General features: G+C 43.3%; 1 protein-coding gene across 1 annotated transcript, besides 5 other annotated features; it reads right to left on the bottom strand.

Annotated features, from left to right (window-relative positions):
• Nucleotides 67–764: an enhancer, noted in NCBI's record as "OCT4-NANOG hESC enhancer chr2:18008377-18009074 (GRCh37/hg19 assembly coordinates)". NCBI's record gives its function as "activates a minimal SCP1, AML or CMV promoter by ChIP-STARR-seq in naive H9 embryonic stem cells {active_cell/tissue: H9 hESC(naive)}" and the evidence as "EXISTENCE:reporter gene assay evidence [ECO:0000049][PMID:30033119]".
• Nucleotides 5,484–5,533: an enhancer, noted in NCBI's record as "active region_15356". NCBI's record gives its function as "activates an Ori minimal core promoter by ATAC-STARR-seq in GM12878 lymphoblastoid cells {active_cell/tissue: GM12878}" and the evidence as "EXISTENCE:reporter gene assay evidence [ECO:0000049][PMID:35858748]".
• Nucleotides 5,584–5,633: an enhancer, noted in NCBI's record as "active region_15355". NCBI's record gives its function as "activates an Ori minimal core promoter by ATAC-STARR-seq in GM12878 lymphoblastoid cells {active_cell/tissue: GM12878}" and the evidence as "EXISTENCE:reporter gene assay evidence [ECO:0000049][PMID:35858748]".
• Nucleotides 5,704–5,753: an enhancer, noted in NCBI's record as "active region_15354". NCBI's record gives its function as "activates an Ori minimal core promoter by ATAC-STARR-seq in GM12878 lymphoblastoid cells {active_cell/tissue: GM12878}" and the evidence as "EXISTENCE:reporter gene assay evidence [ECO:0000049][PMID:35858748]".
• MSGN1 (mesogenin 1) lies at nt 10,076–11,414 on the bottom strand. The gene has a single exon (NM_001105569.3). The coding sequence runs from the start codon at nt 11,353–11,355 to the stop codon at nt 10,774–10,776; it is 582 nt and encodes a 193-aa protein (NP_001099039.1). The 5' UTR covers nt 11,356–11,414; the 3' UTR covers nt 10,076–10,773.
• Nucleotides 11,957–12,086: an enhancer, noted in NCBI's record as "active region_15353". NCBI's record gives its function as "activates an Ori minimal core promoter by ATAC-STARR-seq in GM12878 lymphoblastoid cells {active_cell/tissue: GM12878}" and the evidence as "EXISTENCE:reporter gene assay evidence [ECO:0000049][PMID:35858748]".

The following is a 20,401-nucleotide window of genomic DNA, read 5'->3' as shown; positions in this document are numbered from 1 at the left end:
ATCTCAGCACTTTGGAAGGCTGAGGTGGGAGGATCGCTTGAGAGCAGGAGTTTGAGGATAGCCTGGGCAACAAAGTGAAACTCCTGTCTCTACAAAATAAAAATTTAAAAATTAACCAGACATGGTGGCATGTGTCTGTAGTCCCAGCTACTCAGGAGGCTGAGGCAGGAGAATCACTAGAGCCCAGGTGTCTGAGGCTGCAGTATGCTAAGATTGCACCACTGGACTGAAGTCTGGGTGATAGAGAAAGACCTTGTCTCTAAATAAAGAAATCTGCAGCATCTTAGTCACCCTCTGCCCCTTTGTTACTCCAAGGCCTAGCACTGAGCTAGCTACTCATATGGTTAATAATCTGCAATGTCTAGGTAATTAAAAGAACAAAAGGGCTCTTAAACGCATGCCGAGGCAGCACAGAGCTGCCGTGCTCCCAGCAAGCGTGATAGAATGGACATTGTTTGAGTAAACCTAGCCGACAAAAGAGAATTCTGGTTTTGTCTGCTTAGTTCCTCCACCTTCCCTCCCTCAAGGAGAGCTGTAGTCCTGGGCAGGTGCTATGGCCTGAATGTGTCCTCGAAAATTTATATGTTGAAACACAGTCACCAATATGATAGATGGGACATTTAGGAGATGATTAAGCCAGAGGACTCTGCCCTAGTGAATGGGATTAATGTCTTATAAAAGAGGTTCACACACCATTCATCCCTTTTTTACTTTCTGCCTTCCACCATGTAAGGACACAGCAAAAACACCCTCATCAGACACTGGATGTTAGTGTCTTAATCTTGGACTTCCCAGCCTCCAGAACTGTGAGAAATAAATGTCTATTATTTATAAAATTACCCAGTCATGGGTATTTTGTTGCAGCAGCAGGAAGGGCCTGAGACACCAGGTGTGGTGCAGAACAGGGCCAATGGGGTGCAGGTACCTAAGGAAAGGTGACGGGTGAATAATGAGAGTCATGAAGATAGAATGGGGAGAAATTGTTTGCAGAGCTCAGAAAAGAAGACATGAAGAAAAGGCTACTGCTAAAGACAGGGTTTCCTTTTATGAACATATAAAGAAGCACAGTGTAAAAAGTAAAACAAAAACTTGAGACAGGCACAGTGGCTCACACCTGTAATCCCAGCACTTTGGAAGGCCAAGGCAGATTACTTGGGGTCAGGAGTTTGAGACCAGCCTGGCCAACATGGTGAAAGCCTGTCTCTGCAAAAAATACAAAAATTAGCTGGGCTTGGTGGTGAGTGCCTATAATCTCAGCTGCTTGGGAGGCTGAGGCAGGAGAATCACTTGAATCCAGGAGGCAGAGGTTGTAGTGAACCAAGATTGAGTGATTGCACTCCAGCCTGGGCAATAGAGCAAGACTCTCTAAAAAAAAAAATTAGAAAGGAAAAACTTGAGTATTAATTGAGCCATGTGGATCACAATCTTAATTGCTCATTGCATGCATGTTATTTCCTACAGCAGGTGTGTTGATGGGGACCCAGACTGAGAAGCACCTGAGTTAGCCAGTGAGCGAGGGGCTTCTCTCAGGTTGAGAGTCAGCTTCTCCCCAGCTTGAAGGCTATTCAAGCCCCCAGCTTCACACTCCTCTTGCTCATAACCCTCCTTTCCCTGCTCCTCCAAACTCACTCTGTGCCAGCCAAACCAGCCCATGTGATGCCCCAAGCCCTGGAACCTTTTTGGACCTGCACACTCTTGCAAGTGCAGTTTCCTCAGCTGAGGATGCCTTTGGCTCCCTCAGGTGCCCAGAGGTCAACTTCGAGAGCCTCCTTCTGTGTGAGGCTTTCCCTGAGTCCTGCAGGGAGCATTGGTTCCTGTCATGTCTTTACCTGTGTCTCCCTCATTTGGCTGTGAGCATCTCATCTCTGCAACTCTTTATCCAGCACAGCACCATGCCAGGCCCACTGGAAGAGTCAAGGCTGAGATGTGACTCAATTTTCTTCCCTGTCCCCCTTTTCTGGTCTTGCAGCTCCTACCATCATCATGTTTCTTTATTCTTTGTTGCAGTGATTGGGTCCTCAGCCCACTGCCTGTCTCTCAGCACTCCACAGAACATATCAGGTCTTTTGATGTTGGCTAATATCCTTGGAACTTAAATTATTTAAATAGTATCACTTTCTCTTTTAGGAAGTAAATTAAACATGCAGTAAAAGTAGAGATAGGGGTCTCTTGGGGGATGCAAATTCTTGAATTGTGAAGGGGAATAAAATTCTGTTCAAGGGGTTTCTATTTCCACTACACTACACTACATGAAGACGTTGATTATTTAACCTGTGCATACTAACTAGATTCAAAATTCAGGAAGGTTCAATGCAAAGTCCTCCCTGAAGAACAGGCCCACGCTTGTAATCACAGCACTTTGTGAGGCTGAAGTGGGAGGACTGCTTGAGCCCAGGAGTTCAAGACCAGCCTGAGCAACATAGTGGGACCCCATCTCTACAAAAATACAATTAAAAAATTGGCTAGGCACAGTGGCTCATGCCTGTAATCCCAGCTCTTTGGGATGCCAAGGCAGGCAGATCCCTTGAGCCCAGGAGTTCGAGACCAGTCTAGGCAACATGGTAAAACCTCATCTCTACAAAAAATACAAAAATTAGCCAGGCATGGTGGCACTCACCTGTAGTCCCAGCTACTTGGGAGGCTGAGGTAGGAAGATCACTTGAGCCTGGGAAGTCAAGGCTGCAGTGAGCTGTGATCATGCCACTGCACTCCAGCATGGGCAACAGAGTGAGAACTTGTCTTGTGAGAAACAAAGTCACCTGTCCAAACCCAAAGAATGGACTTAGAGACCTGGAGAACAGCGAAAGTGAGACTTTTAATGATGGTCTTGCAAGATCAGGTGTCTGATGAGCAGGCACACCCAGCACAATTTCAACAAGCAATTTATCCCCTACTGCACAGGTCCCTCCCCTGGTTCCTCATAGGCTGAGTACTATGGGGTCACGATCTTCCCAGATGTCACCTATTGATTGTTGCATAGTGGCTTTAGGCGTGTTTGTTTGTTTGTTTGTTTGTTTTTAGGGTTGTCTTGCTGCATTTTGTTGCAGCCCACAATGCATTGCAATTCTAGTTAGCTTAGGGGCTTTTCAAGTATTTGACTTATGACCTAAGTAGCTGGGCAGGCTGATAGGAACAGACAAAATTAGCTATTTTGCAGGCTAGTAAACTTTTAAACTAAACTTTTTTTGGTTTGGGTAAGGGCAACTAATGGGGAGCAGAGAGGGGAAGAAGGGGAAAGCCAACAAGTAGGCATCGACTATCCAAGCAGGGGCCTTGTATATCCTGTTTCTTCTGTAGTTTGCTGACCTAAGCCGATTCAAGGCACTTTGTCTTGGAGATGGACCACTGTATACATTATTTCCTTCAGTCTCAAAAAGAAAGTAAAAAAAAATATATCTTTTAAATAAAAAAATTAACCAGGCGTGTTGGTGCACCTGTAGTCCCAGCTACTCAGGAGGCTGAGGTGGGAGGACCTCTTGAACCCAGGAGACCAAGGCTGCAGTGAGCCTTGATCGCATCACTGCATTCCAGTCGGAGACAGAGCGAGACCCTGTGTATTAGTCTTTTCTCACATTGCTAATAAAAACACACTCGAGGCCGGGCGCAGTGGCTCACGCCTGTAATCCCAGCACTTTGGGAGGCCAAGGTGGGCGGATCACGAGGTCAGGAGATCGAGACTATCCTGGCTAACAAGGTGAAACCCCATTTCTACTAAAAAATACAAAAAATTAGCCAGGCATGGTGGCAGGCGCCTTTAGTCCCAGCTGCTCAGGAGGCTGAGGCAGGAGAATGGCGTGAACCCAGGAGGCAGAGCTTGCAGTGAGCTGAGATCGCGCCACTGAACTCCAGCCTGGGTGACAGAGCAAGCCTCTGTCTCAGAAAAAAAAAAAAAAAAACACTGGAGACTGGGTAGTTTATAAAAGAAAGAGGTTTAATTGACTCACAGTTCCACATGGCTGGGGAGGCCTCACAATCATGGCAGAAGGTGAAGGGAAAGAAAGCAAGATATGTCTTACATGGCAGCAGGCAAGAGGGCACGTGCAGGGGAATTCCTCTTTATGAAACCATCAGAATTTGTGAGACTTATTCACTATCATAAGAACAGCACAGGAAAAACCCGCCCTTATGATTCAATTACCTCCCACCAGGTCCCTCCCAGGACATGTGGGAATTATGGGAGCTACAATTCAAGATGAGATTTAGGTGGGGACACAGCCAAGCCATATCACCCTGTCTTGAAAGAAAGAAAAAGAAATGTACCATGGAGCACATTTTGAGGATCCCTTTGGGGGCAGAGTTTAGAGCATTTTTACGTTTTCCCAGGAAAATCTTGGGAACCTGATTAGAAGTTTAAAAACTTGGATTCTGGTGCCAGCTCTAATAGTTATGATATTAGGTCATGCTAAACCTTAATCTCATTTGTAAAATGGTCATAGCAATCTCCATTTAACCTCATATATAGTGAAGTATAGGTAAGAATTAAATAGGATAACATATGGGAAATACTTTGTAATCTCTAAACCAACATAAAGACAGACCCAGTATAGACAGAGCCAGAGAGAATGAAAGAATATTCATGTTCCATACCATGTGGGAAGAAAGTGTAAAGGGTATCACAATGTAAAATATGCTCTCATTTATAGAAATCCTAATAAGATGTTTGGACACCAAATACAAAGCTTCTTCAGATGAGAGCATAGACGGGGGAAAGACAAACGTAGAAACTTTTCTGTTGTTTGTTCACCGCTGCATTTCTGTTCCATAGACTTAGTATTGTTAAAGAAATGGGTCAGGCATTATTCGAGCATGTTGGCATGTGCCTGTAGTCCCAGTTATTCAGGGGACTGAAGCAGGAGGATTGCTTGAGCCCAAAAGTTTGAGGCTGCAGTGAGCTTTGATTGTACCACTGCACTCCAGCCTGAGCAACAGAGTGAAACCCCATCTCAAAAAAAAAAAAAAAAAAGGCAGACCTGGGCTCTGGGCTCTGGGCTCTGGGCTCTGGGCTCTGCACCCAATTATGTGACCCTGGGCACATAATTACTTTTTTTCTTTCAGCCTATTTATTTATAAAATGGGCTAATATTAGCTATTGTGTAGCATTAGCTATCAAGATTAAAGCAGAAAACACATATAGAGGCCTTGGCACTGAGCCTTGACACCTCAGATGACAGTTCCACACTGCTGTTTACTGGACTGGAAACAGCCCATGGCTGTGCTTTCTAAATATACTTCTATCTCATCAGCGACCTGACCTCCAGCCCTGCCAGGCTTCCCCACTTAATTTAATGAAAAGAAACACGAGTCAGTAGCATTCATGTGGAGAAGAACGTAACTAATGGAGAGAAGGTCAATAGTTGGCAAACTCAAGAGACAAACAAATAATTGTCTTTTTTCTCCAGCCTTCTCAGAAGTTTTTCTGCTTTCTTCTTCCTCGGAATTCAAGGGTCTCTCTGGGACCAAAATATCAAGACCTTCCAGGCTGCTCTAAGAAGGACACTGCTTCAGCTTCACTGTTTTACTGGCAAGAGAGAGACTGTCTCAGGTTCCTAGCAGGAGGGCGAAAGGAGTGAACCAGGCTCTGGTTCCTGTCTGGCCAGCGTGGGCTGAGCCCACAGAGTCAAGGCTCCTCCTGCAGCCTGGAGTGTGTAGGAATTGTCAGAGGAATCTAATGACACCCTGGTGTAGGCACCTAGCATACTGAGCCATTGTAATAACCTTAGAAGCCCAAGTGCATTTGCTTACCCATCTTATTTTGCTGTTGCTTAAAAAAAGCAACGGTTTTAATGTAAGGGTAATTCTGTGGACTTGACAATTTGCAGAGAATCCCTCCACCCCTGATTTGGCCTCTCTCCCTTGCCTCTCTCCCAATTAGCTAATGTGGCAGAAACTACAAGCAGAACAAAAAAACCTCAGCCCGGTGTGAATTGTGGAACACTTTACTGAACACAAATGAACAGAAGACAGATTTCCTCTGCAGATTAAGAAAGACTCTAGGCGCCAGCAGAGGAAGTGAAGAGAATTTCTAAGAAAATATTCAGGGTGGAGGCAGGAGTTCAAAGGGAAATAATTTAAAGGTCAAGACAAATAGTCCCTTCTGAAATGCTTCAGATGGTGAAAGATGAGGGCCCAGAGGTAGGGAAGCAGAGAAAAAGTGGAGAGGCTCCAAGAGTGAGCATTTGTTTAGAATGCTCTCCCACTGCCAAGCCCTTTGCCTAGGCCATCATCAGAGTGAGCTAGAAAAGAAGGCGACATGACTGAGGGAAGTAACCTGAAGTTTGGAGTTAGAGCTGAACTCACTAGCTAACTAATTAGACATGTGCCCCTACCTGACCAAGTGGCTTTGCATAGCTTAACTGGCCTAAACTTATTTCCTGGTCCTCAAAATACAAATAATGCCCATCTCCTAGGGTTGTTAGGAGAGTTACATGAAATAATAAATGTAGAAGTACTGACCAGAGTAGGCATATGTGAACTGTGGTTCTGCAACCCTTTCCCTGTCCAAGCACCAGAAATAACTTATTCCTAATCTTGAGCTTTGCCCAGGCCAGATGCTTTGAAACACTCCCTGGAGGATTGAGGGACCTATTCCAGCTATCCTCCCGATAAGGGAGGCGACTCCACTGGGGACTGGCAGGAGTCAAACACTCATATACAGCTGCCTATCGTGTACAGCAGTTGTGGTTGCAGCCTGGCAATCTGGGAAGGACTCAGTGGGAAAAGAGAGTAGAATGATAGATAACAGAGGCTAGGAAGGGGGTGTGGGTGAGACAAGGCTCTGGGCCACAGGACCCCTCCCAGGAAGCTGCCATCTTCTCCTGGTTTTGCAGACACCTACCCTCTAGTGGGTCCCTTAGAAGTCCTGAGGGCATACCCAGCTAATAGGTGAGTCTGTGACATTAAGGGATATTTTGAAACTGAGGACAGGAAATACCTCCTAATTCATTCACAGTATTTGGTGCCCAGGACAACCAAAATTGCCCAAGCTATTTATAAACCATTGTTAATACTTGAGCTTGAAAAATCAAAGCCAAGAGCATTTGAGTCCCACTCATTTAAAAACGGTGAGGAAAATAGCATTTGAACCGAAAGTTGATTTTTAGAACAGCTGGTTCTCCCTTACCCCAATACCCTCCTCCTTCTCCAACACAAAAAACACAACCCACACATACACATGCATGAACACATACATAGGTGAACAAATACGTATATATGTGCACACACATACGCTCTCACATGAACACCTGTACATGTATGTGATAAAGTTCCTTGGAGAAAGTCTTCATATTGTTCAATGTTTTCTAGCTTTTTCTCTAAAACACCAAATATATGAGAAGCTGATGAAAGTTTATATACATAGAATGACATCTTAGCAACTGTGCCTCACCACCACCCACCAATCCTTGATGACAAGCTACACAGAAATAAAATTAGATTCCTTCCACACACTATAGACAAAAATGAATTAAAGGTATTTTGAAGACCCATAAATAAATAATAAAACTGTAAGAGTATTTACAAAACATCAAGAGAACACTTGGACAACCTTGGAACTGGGGAAAATTAAGCAAGGGAGAAAAACACATAAGCCATGAAACAAAAACCAAATTTGATCATATAAAAATGAAAAGCTTCAAAAAAAATGATGCCATAATCAAGATCATAAGACATCATCACCGGGCGCAGTGGCTCACGCCTGTAATCCCAGCACTTTGGGAAGCCAAGGTGGGCAGATCGCCTGAGGTCAGGAGTTGGAGACCAGCCTGACCAACAGGATGAAACCATCTCTACTAAAAATACAAAATTAGTTGGGCGTGATGGCACATCCCTGTAATCCCAGCTACTTGGGAGGCTGAGGCAGAAGAATTGCTTGAACCTGGGAAGCGGAGGTTGCAGTGAGCCAAGATCACGCCATTGCACTCCAGACTGGGCACCAAGAGTGAAACTCCGTCTCAGAAAAAAAGAAAAAAAGACATCATCAAAACAAATATGCTGGAGGTCAATATGTTAAGTAAAATAAGCCAGGCACAGAAGGATAAATATTGCACGTTCTCACTCATATGTGAGAGCTAAAAAAACTTGATCTTATGGAGGTAGAGAGTAGAATGATAGCCTGGGCAACATGCTCTACAAAAAATACAAAAATCAGCCAGGCATGGGGGCACATACCTATAGTTCCAGCTACTCAGGAGGCTGAGGCAAGAGGATCGCTTAAGCCCAGGAATTTGAGGCTGCAGTGAGCTATCATCGCACCACTGCACTTCAGCCTGGGCAACAGAGTGAAAAAAAGAAAGGAAAAAGAGAGTAGAATGATAGGAAACAGAGGCTGGGAAGGGAGTGTGGGTGGCGGGAGGGGTGGGTAGGGGATAAAGAGAGGTTGGTTAATGGATATAAGCATAGAGTTAGATAGATAAATAAATTCTAGTGTTAGATAGCAGAGTAGCGTGACTATAATTAACAACAATGAATTGTATATTTCAAAATAGCTAGAAGCAAGGACTTGAAATAGTCCTGAAATGATAAATATTCAAGGTGATGAATACCTAAATACCCTGACTAGATCATTACACCATTACACATTCTATGCATGTAACAAAATATCAAATGTACCCTATAAATATGAATAAATATTATGCATCAATAAAAAAGAAAAAAGAATACAATATAAAAAGATTGGAAGGAAATATTCCAGTACATAATATACAAAGAACTCTCTCAAATTAACAAGAAGATAAAGCAATAGAAAAATGGCAAATTTATAAACTAGCAAGTTTTAGAAGAGGAACCAAAATGAACAATGGTCACATAAAATAAAGACGCTCCACCTCAAATGACAGACAGGGAAGTTAAAATTAACACAACAATGAACAATTTTTATCCATTAAAAATTCATAAAATTGATAGTATCCAATGAAAATGTGGGGCAACTGGTTCTGTCACATAATACTAGGAGGAGTATACATAACTACAAACTTTTATAGAAGTGACATAACATTATTTATTAAAATTTAAAATGTGCATACTCTGATCCAATAATCCCATTTCTGGGAATTTTTCAAGCTAATGAACACATCAGTAGATAAAGCTAGTTGTCTATAACCTTTGTTATAGCATTTTTGTCATAAAAAACCTGAAAATAACTTAAAAATCATTGAAAAGGTGACTCGCTTAAGAAATTTTGCAGAATCTGTTCTATGGAACCTTGCTAGAACCTCTGTTTTCTGTTATACTTTTTGCATGTGTGACTCAGCAAGTCATGCATCTGTTTCCCCATCTATAAAATGAAGGTAATAATGGTATTTACACCACAGATTTATTTGTGCTAACTTGGAAGAACTTGTACTGTATATTGTTAAGTTAAAAAAGGAATTTTCAGGTTTTTTTCTTTAACATTTATGTATGCTTACATTTATTTGTATACGTTTGTATCAGCAAAAAAAATGGACAAGTTATATATATTTGTATATGTTTGTATCAGCAAAAAAAAAATGGAGAAGTAGAGAACACATCTACTGCTTTTGTAATTTATGTCACTAAAAAGAAAACAAAATCACCAATAGAAAAAAGATGATAGGAGACATGTACAACAAATACTAATGGTTAATAACCATAGGGAGAAAAATTCAGCCTTAAAAAATCTCACTAGTTTTCAGAACCTCCTTAATTCAAAGCCCCCTTTTCAATGTCCTGTGCCATTCAAATGAGCTAAACTGTGGGTGCTACAGATACCCACCCTAAGACAAGGCACCATGAAGAGTGGGTGTGTGTGTGATGGGTGCATGTGGGGGATCTGGAGTTGGGGGGAGGCAGATGGATAGGAGGGGAAGATGAAGAAGTAAATGCCTTTGGAGGGGTCAGAGATTGTTCAGTTCTAACACTGACCCTTTTAGTTATTCTTTATGGGATTCGAATCACTTTTTTTTTTTTTTTTTTCTGAGACTGTCTTTTTATTTGACAAACGGGTAAGTGAAAGGACTAAATAAGGTCCTGTTCATACCAGGCCCAGAACAAAGGACAGGGAGACCCTGCCCACCCAGCCTTGCTTCAGGTCCACCCTGAGGTGCTGTCTCCTCCTCCTCCTCCCCGTACCCTCCTTCCCTGTCACACAAGCTGTTTGCCTGTGAAGAGGAGGCTCTGGCTTTTGGAATCTTCACTGTCTTAACTTAGCCTGTCTGCCTGTGACTTTCCATTTATCATGACACCAGTGCCTTCCGCATTTAAGTGATTTTGGTCCCTGCAACAGCATGATTTCAGTCAAACACAAACACACACACATATACACACGAAATGAAAACAGGAGCACTAAAGCCCTTTACTTGGCACAAATCTTTCTAAATAAGAATCCAGATATCACACTGGATCCTATACAAAATACAGGTTTTGTTAGCAACAGAAGAAAAGGTCTCAACGCCAAAATGGCAAGAGATTAACACTTTTACATTATTGAAAAAAATGCATTTAAAATCACTGACCCTTTAAAATACCTTGAACAGACAGAGAAGGGCAAAATAATCTGTCTGTTTGCAAAGGATGAGCCTCCCAGATGGGTGGAAAAAACTGGAGGTGAAAGTCTCTGCTCATCTGGCAGGTAAGTGTTCTGGTGGGTCCAACAGGTTACATGTGAATTCCCTTAGGGTTTTTCAGATCACAAGATTATCAGGCTTACTACATAAAAATCACTCTACGCCGATCATTGTTCAATAAGATATCCAGGTCTTCAAAACTCCTCTACTCCTGCTCAGGAGGCTGGAACCGGTCAGTTTCCCCGGATGGAGCTCACGCGCTCTGGGCTCTGGGCTCTCTGCCGCGGTTAAGGAGGTCTGTGAGTTCCCCGATGTACTTGATGGTGTACTTGAGTGTCTGGATCTTGGTGAGAGGCTGGCCTCTCTGGCTGTAGACAGGTGGCAGGTAATTCCGGAGGGTGTGCAGGGCATCTGCCAAGGTCCTCATCCTGAGCTTCTCCCTCTCGCTGGCTTTCCGCCTCCGCTGGACAGACATCCTGACTTTGGTGCCCTTCTGGGCCTTGGGGCCACCACCGCCCTGAAGGTGGGTGGGCTGGAAAGCTAACATATTGTAGTCCACCTCTACCAGGCCACTGGCCCCACCGACACTGCAGCCTTCGCTGCCCCCACTGCTGGCCCCGCCGTGCTCACAGGGCAGCCCAGCCACAGCTGGACAGGGAGAAGAAGAATAGGATTCCAGCGATGGAGCCGGGGAAAGGCTCTGAGAGGGGGAGGCCTGATTCAGCTCAAAGGGCCCTGCCCTGTCCTTCCAGTCCCAGGAAGACAGCAGGCCAGGGCTGTCAGAGGAGCCCAAGCCATCCTCGAGGCTGAGGAAAGTCTCGCGCAGGTTGTCCATGCCTGCGAGACAGCTGCAGAAGGAATGGCTCCCTGGCAAGTGAGAAAGAAAATTCTGCCGCCTGGCCAGGGAAGAGCTCTCTTTTATGACGGTGGGGGAGAAGTGATGAAGTGGGAAAGAGGGCCGTGTAAAGAGAGTTCAAAGGAAAAACCAAAGACCAAGATGGAAAATGAACTCTTCAGGTGTCATTTTCTCCTCATTGATAATTAGCATCTTCCAGCTAAAATGTCTTTAAACAGAAAGGCCTCCAAGAGAAGAAAAAAGGAATTATCTTGTTGTAACTAAACCAATTAAGGCTGCATAACTAGACTTAGCATTGTGCTGTGGAACTCATTAATGAGGGAGCCAAAGAAAACAAACCTGGGGCATCCGCAGCAAGGAGGGGGTGGCCGAGGGCCCTGGTGGAGAGTAGCAAAGTGACCCGAGAGGGCCTCCATCCCCTCCACCAGGACCTGCTAGATATTTCAGCACAGTTGGGCTGTATTGTTGGAGAAGCAGCATGGTCTAGGGACAAGGTAACCCCTCTGGGCTTTGATTCCCTAATGTGTCCAACACAGAAAACAACAGCTCTTATTTCCTAGGGTTGCTGGGGGTGCCACACACATGAGGTACCCAGTGGATGCCACCTTAGTAAATTTCCCTGGGTCGTATAGAGTGCAGACATGCCCGGAACATGCCTACACTCAGAACGACAAAGGCCAGCAACTCCAGTAAGCCTAGAGCCTTAAAGAGCAGGAAACATCCTACCAGAGGCATAAAACCCTTGCTGTTACCGAGCAGATTTGGATTCCGCACAGCAAACAGATACTAGGAAACAGAAAACTCCCTTAAGCCAGGGACTTTGCAGAATACCTGGCATTTAGCCTAAGGAAAGTCTTTTTTAACAAACCCAGCTGCACCTTGTTTTTTGAAATGAGTCACACCTTGCTTTTTGAAATGTATGGAGGAAGTGTGAAATTAACTAGGGAGCCTCTTTTCCCCACCACAGCTCCAAATGCCACTGAATGTGTTAAGTTGGATGGTTGTGCTAGTTTGCTTCACTTCCTATATGCTCTGCTAGACCCTGGGTTTTGGAAAAGGGATCTCAGATTCCCCATTTGTCCCATGAACTTAATTTATTTTCCATGTAACTAATTCTACAAATTAGTATTAACATCAAGTCGCAGTGAGTTAAAGTGTAGAGTAATATTAACATGTCCTTTAACAGGTTATTTAAGTCCCCTTGCAATTATTGAAAATAAATGTCAATGGCCTAGTTAGAACATTTATGATATTTTTTAATTAGCAAGGCTCAAGGAAGAAAAATCTCAAGTAGGTAATCTGTAGAAGAATGCTCTTAATTTTACCATTTACTGAAGAACCCCAAGCCGGATTTTGAAAAATAATAATATTAATGACTGTAATAAATGTAACAAATGACTCTTGCTCCTTTTTCCTCTCTCTTCTCTCTTCCAATTCTTGTTGAGAAGCCCAGAATCTGCTGATACTATGCAAGGAATTTTATATATTTTTTAATTTTTCTTATTTCAATAGCTTTTGGGGTAAAATGTTTTTTTGTTACATGGGTGGGTTGTATAGTGGTGAAATCTGAGATTTTAGTGCTCATGTCAACTGAGTAGTGTACATTGTACCCAATATGTAGTTTTTTATATCCCTCACTCTCCTCCCACCCTCCCCCTTCTGAGTCTCCAAAATCCATTATACCACTCTGCATGCCTTTGCATGCCCATAGCTTAGCTCTCATTTATAAGTAAGAACATATGGTATTTGATTTTTCCATTCCAGAGTAACTTCACTTAGAATAATGGCCTCCAGCTTCATCCAAGTTGCTGTAAAAGACATTATTTCATTGGCTTTTTTTTATGGCTGAGTAGTATTCCATGGTGTATATATATCACATTTTCTTTATCCACTCGTTGGTTGATGGGCACTTAGTTGGTTCCGTATCTTTGCAATTGTGAATTGTGTTGAAGTAAACATATGCGTGTAGGTGTCTTTTTGATAGAATGACTTCTTTTCCTTTGGGTAGATACCCAGTAGTGGGATTGCTGGATCAAATAGTAGGTCTACTTTTAGTTCTTTAAGAAATCCCCATCCTGTTTTCCATAGAGGTTGTGCTACTTTTCATTCCCACCAGCAGTATGTAAGTGTTCCCTTTTTACCACATCCATGCCAACATTTGGGTTTTTTTTTTTACTTTGTTTATTACAAACCTATTCTGGCTGGGGCAAGGCAGTATCTCGTTGTGGTTTCAATTTGCATTTCCCTGATAACTAGTGAGGTTGAGCATTTTTTCATGTTTGTTGGACATTTGGATATCTTCTTTTGAGAAATGTCTATTCATGTCATGTGCCCACTTTTTGATGAAATTATTTGTTTGTTTCTTGCTGATTTGTGTGAGTTCAAGGAACTTATATGATTAAGCTTCTTTTTAAAAAAGACAAAAAACAAAAAGACCAACATGTTATGGATGAAAATACTGAGACTCTCAGATGTGAAGAAACTCAGTTAAGATTTCCCGGGTAGGAAGTGGTAGAGTCACTAGGGAGTGGTAGAGCAAAGATTCCTTGTCAGACCCCAAAGCTCACTTTCTTTTTTTAAAATCTATTTTCACTCTTTCATGGGTTGTGGTAGAGGCAGATGGCCTGAGTGTGACTCAGAGAGGGAACTCCCAGGGGACACAAGGCAGCTGTGGGGGCCGCTGCCATGGCAGACTCTCGATCCTTGTGTTCTAACTTCACAGTTTTCCACGTAACACTGCTTCTGCTCTCAGACTCCATAACTCTTTTTTCCCTTTCCCACAGCTTCTTTCTAAAACTGCTAATTTCTTGAACTTCCATTTTTAGAAATTTCGTTTCCTAAATGAGACAATATCTGTCAAATCCTTAGTGCACTGTAGACACTTAATAAATGTAGTTCTTGTCATTATTGTTATTGACTGAGTGTTGTCAAACCCACCAGCAACAGAATGACTTACCGAGCTGTGACTCTTCTGCTCCTGACCCCAGTTTCCCAGCCTTCTTGGCCCCTGAAACTATTCTTGGAGAAAGGAAGCTGCCTGGTTTTCATGTTTCTTGATGTGCACTCTCTCTTTGGTAAGAAATAAAGCAGAACCAGACTTGCATCTATCTGAGAAGCATTCTGTGCTCAATCTGAGGGAAATAAAAGTCAAGGACAATGTAACACTGCAGTACAGACATTCGAAGGCTATAGTTAGGCAGACACTAGCTGGTGCTTTTCTGTCTCCAGTTTGAACAAAGCAACAGAACACTGGATAAGGCTAGACCAGACAGGCAAAATTTACACTGGACCCAGTAAAATCTGGCTGAGAGCATGGTGTTGTGGAAGGATGAGACAGAACTTGCCTCCTTTAGAGCAAGTGACTCACCCCTCACAGCCTAAGTATTTTAGTGCGTAAAAGGAGGTAATAACACTTTTCCTGTGTTCTTCTTCTTCTTCTTTTTTTTTTTTTTTTTTGACGCAGGGCCCAGGCTGTAGTGAAGTGGCACCATCTAGGCTCACTGCAACCTCTGCCTCCTAGATTCAAGTGGTTCTCATGCCTCAGTCTCCCAAGTAGCTGGAACTACAGGTGTGTGCCACCATGCTCAGCTAACTTTTGTATTTTTAGTAGAGACAAGGTTTCACCACGTTGGCCAGGCTGGTCCTAAACTCATGGCCTCAAGTAATCCACCCGCCTCCACCTCCCAAAGTGCTGGGATTATAGTAAGCCATCGTGCCCAGCCTGCTCTGTCTTCTTTATCAAGAGCATTCATTACATGAGGAGGGTGTACCAAGGGATCATTAAACTCCCGTCTAGCTACAAAATGCCATGAAACATGTTACTACCATGTGAATATGCTTGGTTAAAAGAGCACTGTACCAGCATGAAGGCATTTGGGGATATCATTGAGTCCATCATTTCTTTAAATCTGCATTCTACACATGGTGAATGACTTGCTCAATGTCATACCCAAAGGCTGTGGCAGAGATGGAAAGAGAAAAGCCAAAGTTGCCTGCCTCCCATATCTGTCCTTTTTCTTCCTTTGAAACTAATAGGACTAATTGCAAAGTATTCACATCAGGCAGACTACGTATTTCCCACATTACTGATTTATTGGGATAAATATTTTACTTCAAATGTCATTCAAGCAACAGATATTTATAAGCTATTGTGACTATGACTGTGACAGATTGAAAAGAGGCCCCCAACCTTGAGGCCCACTCTCAAGAGACCTTGAAAAATGTTCAGGTCCTATTTTCCAAAGTATAAGACAAAGGTACAGGTTGTTTCATCTCTCAAATCCCAGGCCTTCATATTGACCTTTTTATTGTAGCTACACTCACTAAGGAGGATCCCAGATTTGCCATACATATTAATAAGTGGTCTGTGTCTAATTTTCAGAATGATGAGCTTCTGAGGGAATGCTGGTCATGTTCCTGACAACAGTCAGGACAACTGGGCATTTCACACTGGCCTCAGAGGATTGTAAACTCTACATTTAAGAGCCAGGAAGCTTTCTTGAGGCAGAGCCACTTCCAGGAAATTGGCAAATAGTGCTCAAAGGATAGACAGAAAACAGAAATCAAGAGGCTGATGGAATTCCTTAAGCTGTGGCCACCGGTGGTTCCATGCCATTACCAGCCCATACGGCTCCTTTGTGCAAATTACAAAACAACCAAGCTAAGGCTTATTTCAGCCCTGCTTGCCTCTTCAGCCCAGCACCTTTGTGCAGGGTGCACCCTCCTCAAGCAGTGGCCCTGGGAGCCCCTGTGATGTGCCTCCTCTGCAATGTTAGCATTTTTAGTACTTTGGTGGCTGTTTGAACATCGGTGAACAGATAGAACATGGGGGTAGTGGCAAGAGTGCAGGAATAGGAGCCAGGTCAAACCTGTCACATCTTACATTTCCTCCTCTGTTATTGTGACCTGGGACACATGAATCAATCTTTCTCAGCTTCAGCTTCATCTTCATCTGTGCAATTGAAATACTAATACTTGCCTTATAGAGTACACGCTTTTAGCAGGTTTACACATTGTAAACTGTAAGTGTGGTAACTAATGTTGCTGTAATTATTAATCTTGTGCTGGGGCAGGGTGCTGTAGCTCATGCTTGTAATCCCAGCACTTTGGGAGGCCAAGGTGGGTGGATCACGAGGTCAGGAGATCGAGAGCATCCTGGCCAACATGGTGAAACCCCGTCTCTACTAAAAATACAAAATTAGCTCGGTGTGGTGGCATGTGCCTGTAATCCCAGCTACTTGGGAGGCTGAGGCAGGAGAATCACTTGAACCTGGGAGGCGGAGATTGCAGTGAGCCGAGATCGTGCCACTGTACTCCAGCCTGGTGACAGAGCAAGACTCCATCTCAAAAAAACAAACAAACAAAAATCTTGTGCTGGGTACATTCTTGGTTCCTTGAGTCAAGAGAAGTTAGAGCCACAATACAAGTAGCCACAAATATATCACTCCCACTTTCTCTTGGCCTCAAGTCCCCCCTGCTTAGAAACCAAAATCCCTCCATTCAAATGTAATCTTTCTTTTTTAATGGAACCAGAGTAGTGGCGTACCCTGGATGGGTGGTGAGAACCTTCAGCCTCTGGTGTAGGCAATAAAGGGAGGTATTGTCTACATATAATTTTAAAACAGTGATAATGCTTGGCTAAAAGTTGGTCTTTATCTTATTATAACCATGTAGTGGCAATTCTAAACAATGACAATAATAAAATGACTCCTCTTTAGGGAAGCCCACTCCCACCAACACCCCCATCCTTGGTACACCACTGCCAAAGAGAACTTGGAATTCAGTCTAGAAATGTGGAACTGTCACTCAAGGCACCCAAATCCTCTACTTTACTATGGAAATTTGAGTGAGTCATTCAACCTTTGCGGACCTCAGTTTCCTTGTGTGAAAATTAGGAATCTTATATATTGTGTTGCTATGACATTTTTAAAAATTAAAAAATTGAGACTTGACTTTGGAAAGTATGAAAGAGTATAGGGATATGTTTTGATATTACCAAGATTAACAAAAATACTTTCACCAATGCAATTATCTGCTCCAAACCCAGCCATTTGCCATGATACATGACACCAGGTAAATCAGCATGGAAGGTGGTTCATGCTCCTTTAAAAGCCTGTCTCATGAGAAATAGGACCGTCTCAGACCTTTGAGAAGCATCAAGGTTGAGGGTCTATTTCTCTTGTGATCTCCTGGATCCCTGTTCTACATGAGGTAGTTTGTATGGGCCATTTGTTCGAGTCAGAGGGAGGACTCCAGTGAATTCCAACTCCTAATAATGCTTCAGAAAAGCCTTCCATAGATAAGAATTTGGTCAATAAACTAAGAAATCTAACCCTGGAGTCTAATTAAAATGAGGGTGAACCTTTATTGCATTCCTGCCATGTGCTGAGAACCAGACTTTTCTCTTTCAGGTTCATTAGTTAATCTTAATTTTCGCAGCAATTTTGAAAGATAGAGGTTCTAATCCACAACCTAAAGATGAAGAAATTTGTGTTCAGAAAGAGACCCAGCAGACACAGCAAGAGGATGGGAAAAGTAGAATGCGATCTAAGTCTGTGTGAATTCCAAATCCCCCCGTACTACATAATTATAATTTCAAATTCTACTCTACTACACTATTTCCCAAAAACAGCTTCATACATGTAATGTAATCACTGGGAATAGGTACAAGATGCAAGGCTTGGTTCCAATCTTGCCTCTTCCATGAAGCTTTCCCTGCCTGCCTCAGCCCTTGGAATTTCCCACTTTTCTGATCAGTAGCACTTAGATTTGGCACCATTCATTTGCCATTAATATTTACCACCTGATATTCTGGTTCTCTGTTCACATGGATATGACTTATTCCCATCAGCTACATTGAAACGTCTTTAAAGATATAGATGATGGCTTTTCTATCTCTTAGCATGGTGCCAGGAGCTCAGAAGATGACTAGTCCTTTGGTCTTTGGGCTTTTACTTGGCGCATGCTGGGTGCCAAATACTGTACTGGGTGCTGAGGACAGAAAGTCAAATTAAAAAGCGTTTGTCTTCAAGTTGCTCAGGGTATTGAAGGTGGTAATAGAGAAATAAACTACTTATGAAACAATGTCAAAAATGCTTTGATAAATTTAACCATAGGGCACAATCTGCACAACTGTATGTGACAGCCTTGGGAGCCCTCTGTAACTAACTTGTCTCTTTTACAATGTTAGCACTTTAGTACTTCACTTGTTGTCCAGACATTGGTGGATGGATAAAAAGTGATATTGGTGACAAGAGGACAACCTTGGGGGCAGACAAAACCTGGGTCAAATCTTACAAATATTTAACATACAAACCAGGCACTCAGTGGAAGGCCACAAAAGTAAATCTGGAAGGCTTTCTGAAAGACATGACTCCTACAGGCTTGTTTGTTTGTTTGTTTGTTTTGAGACAGAGTCTCGTTCTGTCACCCAGGCTAGAGTGCAGTGCAGTGGCATGCAGTGGCGTGATCACGAGTCACTGCAGCCTCAACCTCCTGGGCTCAAGTGATTTTCCCACCTCAGCCTCCTTATAGCTGGGACTACAGGTGCACACCACCATGCCTGGCTAACTTTTGTATTTTTTGTAGGGATGGAGTTTTGCCATGTTGCCCAGGCTGATCTTGAACTCCTTGGCTCAAGCAATTCTCTTGCCTCAGCCTCCCAAAGTGTTGGTATTACAGGTTGTTATAGACCTGTTTTTAAATTAACACTCCTATTTGTTCTTAAAGATGCTCCTTAAAAAGCAGGGCTTTTTTTTTTTCTAGGTGAAAGGTGGAGAGAACATTCTAGGCATTACTTGAAGGCTTGATAGAGCATGCACGATTTGTGCAAGAAATTGAGAGCTGTTCCATGTTCCACAAGGTCAAGTGAAGGCAAAGAGCAGACATTGGAGGTAAAGCTGAAAAGCAGAGCCTCGTCTGCAATGATAAGACACTTGGACTTTATCTTGGAGATGACAAGGAGCTTCTGGTGGGAGTTCGCAAGGGTGAGATTTGGTCAGCAGTGCACTGGAGCCTCACTCTGCTTGTTTGTGGGGAAGGTGTTTGAGTGTTCTATTGGTTCTCCAGGGTTCACAGGGAAACAGAACCAATAGGATGGATGGATGGATGGATGGATGGATGGATGGATGGATGGATGAATAGAGGTGAAGTCCCACAGTCTGCTGTCTGCAAGCTGTATACCCAGGAAAGTCTGTGGTATTGTTCAAAGGCCTGAGAGCCAGAGAGGCAACAGATGGTGTAGATTCCAGTCAAGATCTGAAGGCCGGAGAACTAGGAGCACTGAAAACCACTGAGGACAGGAGATTGATGTCCCAGCTTAAGGAGTCAGGCAGAGAGACCACTCAACTTTCCTCAGTCTTCTTGTTCTTTTCAAGCCCTGAGGGGATGATGCCCACCCACAGTATCTACTTTACACAGTCTACCAGTTCACATGCTAATCTCTCCTGAAAATACCCTTGCAAACACACCTGGAAATAATGTAGAACCAGCTACTTGGGCATCCTGTGGCCCAGGCAAGTTGGCACATAAAATTAATCATCACCCGTGGAGCACGACTAGAGGCAGAGTGCACCAGTAATATTCCAGGTGCTTAGCACAGATGAACCCACATTCATCCTCACAACAACCCTAAGGGGTAGGTGCTATTATCATCACCAATCCTGTTTTACTGATAAGAAATTGAGGCACAGAGGAGTTAAGTAACTTGCCCAAGGCCCCAGGATGAGAGCCTAGGCAGGCTGACTGGAGCCTAGGCTTTTACCCACCAGTTGGAGGCATCTGCACGATGGGCCCTGCAAAGCTGTTGAAGCTGGAACTCAGGCTTGACCTGAGACTTGGTAAATCCTAAAAGATTGATTGATTGATTCCTTGGCCCCATTCAGTCATGTATCCAGTGTGTACAGAGCACCTGAGATTAGCCAGAGTCCTGGGTCCTATAGGTACTAAAAAGATTAAGTAGGTTTAGACTTCTATCATCATTCCTAAATTAGATGGTTGGTTGGACATGACAGGCGTCCACATAACT

The sequence above is a fragment of the Homo sapiens genome, chromosome 2, assembly GCF_000001405.40.
Source record: "Homo sapiens chromosome 2, GRCh38.p14 Primary Assembly".
In the NCBI taxonomy this organism is placed as follows: Eukaryota; Metazoa; Chordata; class Mammalia; order Primates; family Hominidae; genus Homo; species Homo sapiens.
Note: the sequence above shows the minus strand (reverse complement) of the source record. Positions and strands in the feature narration are given on the sequence as shown.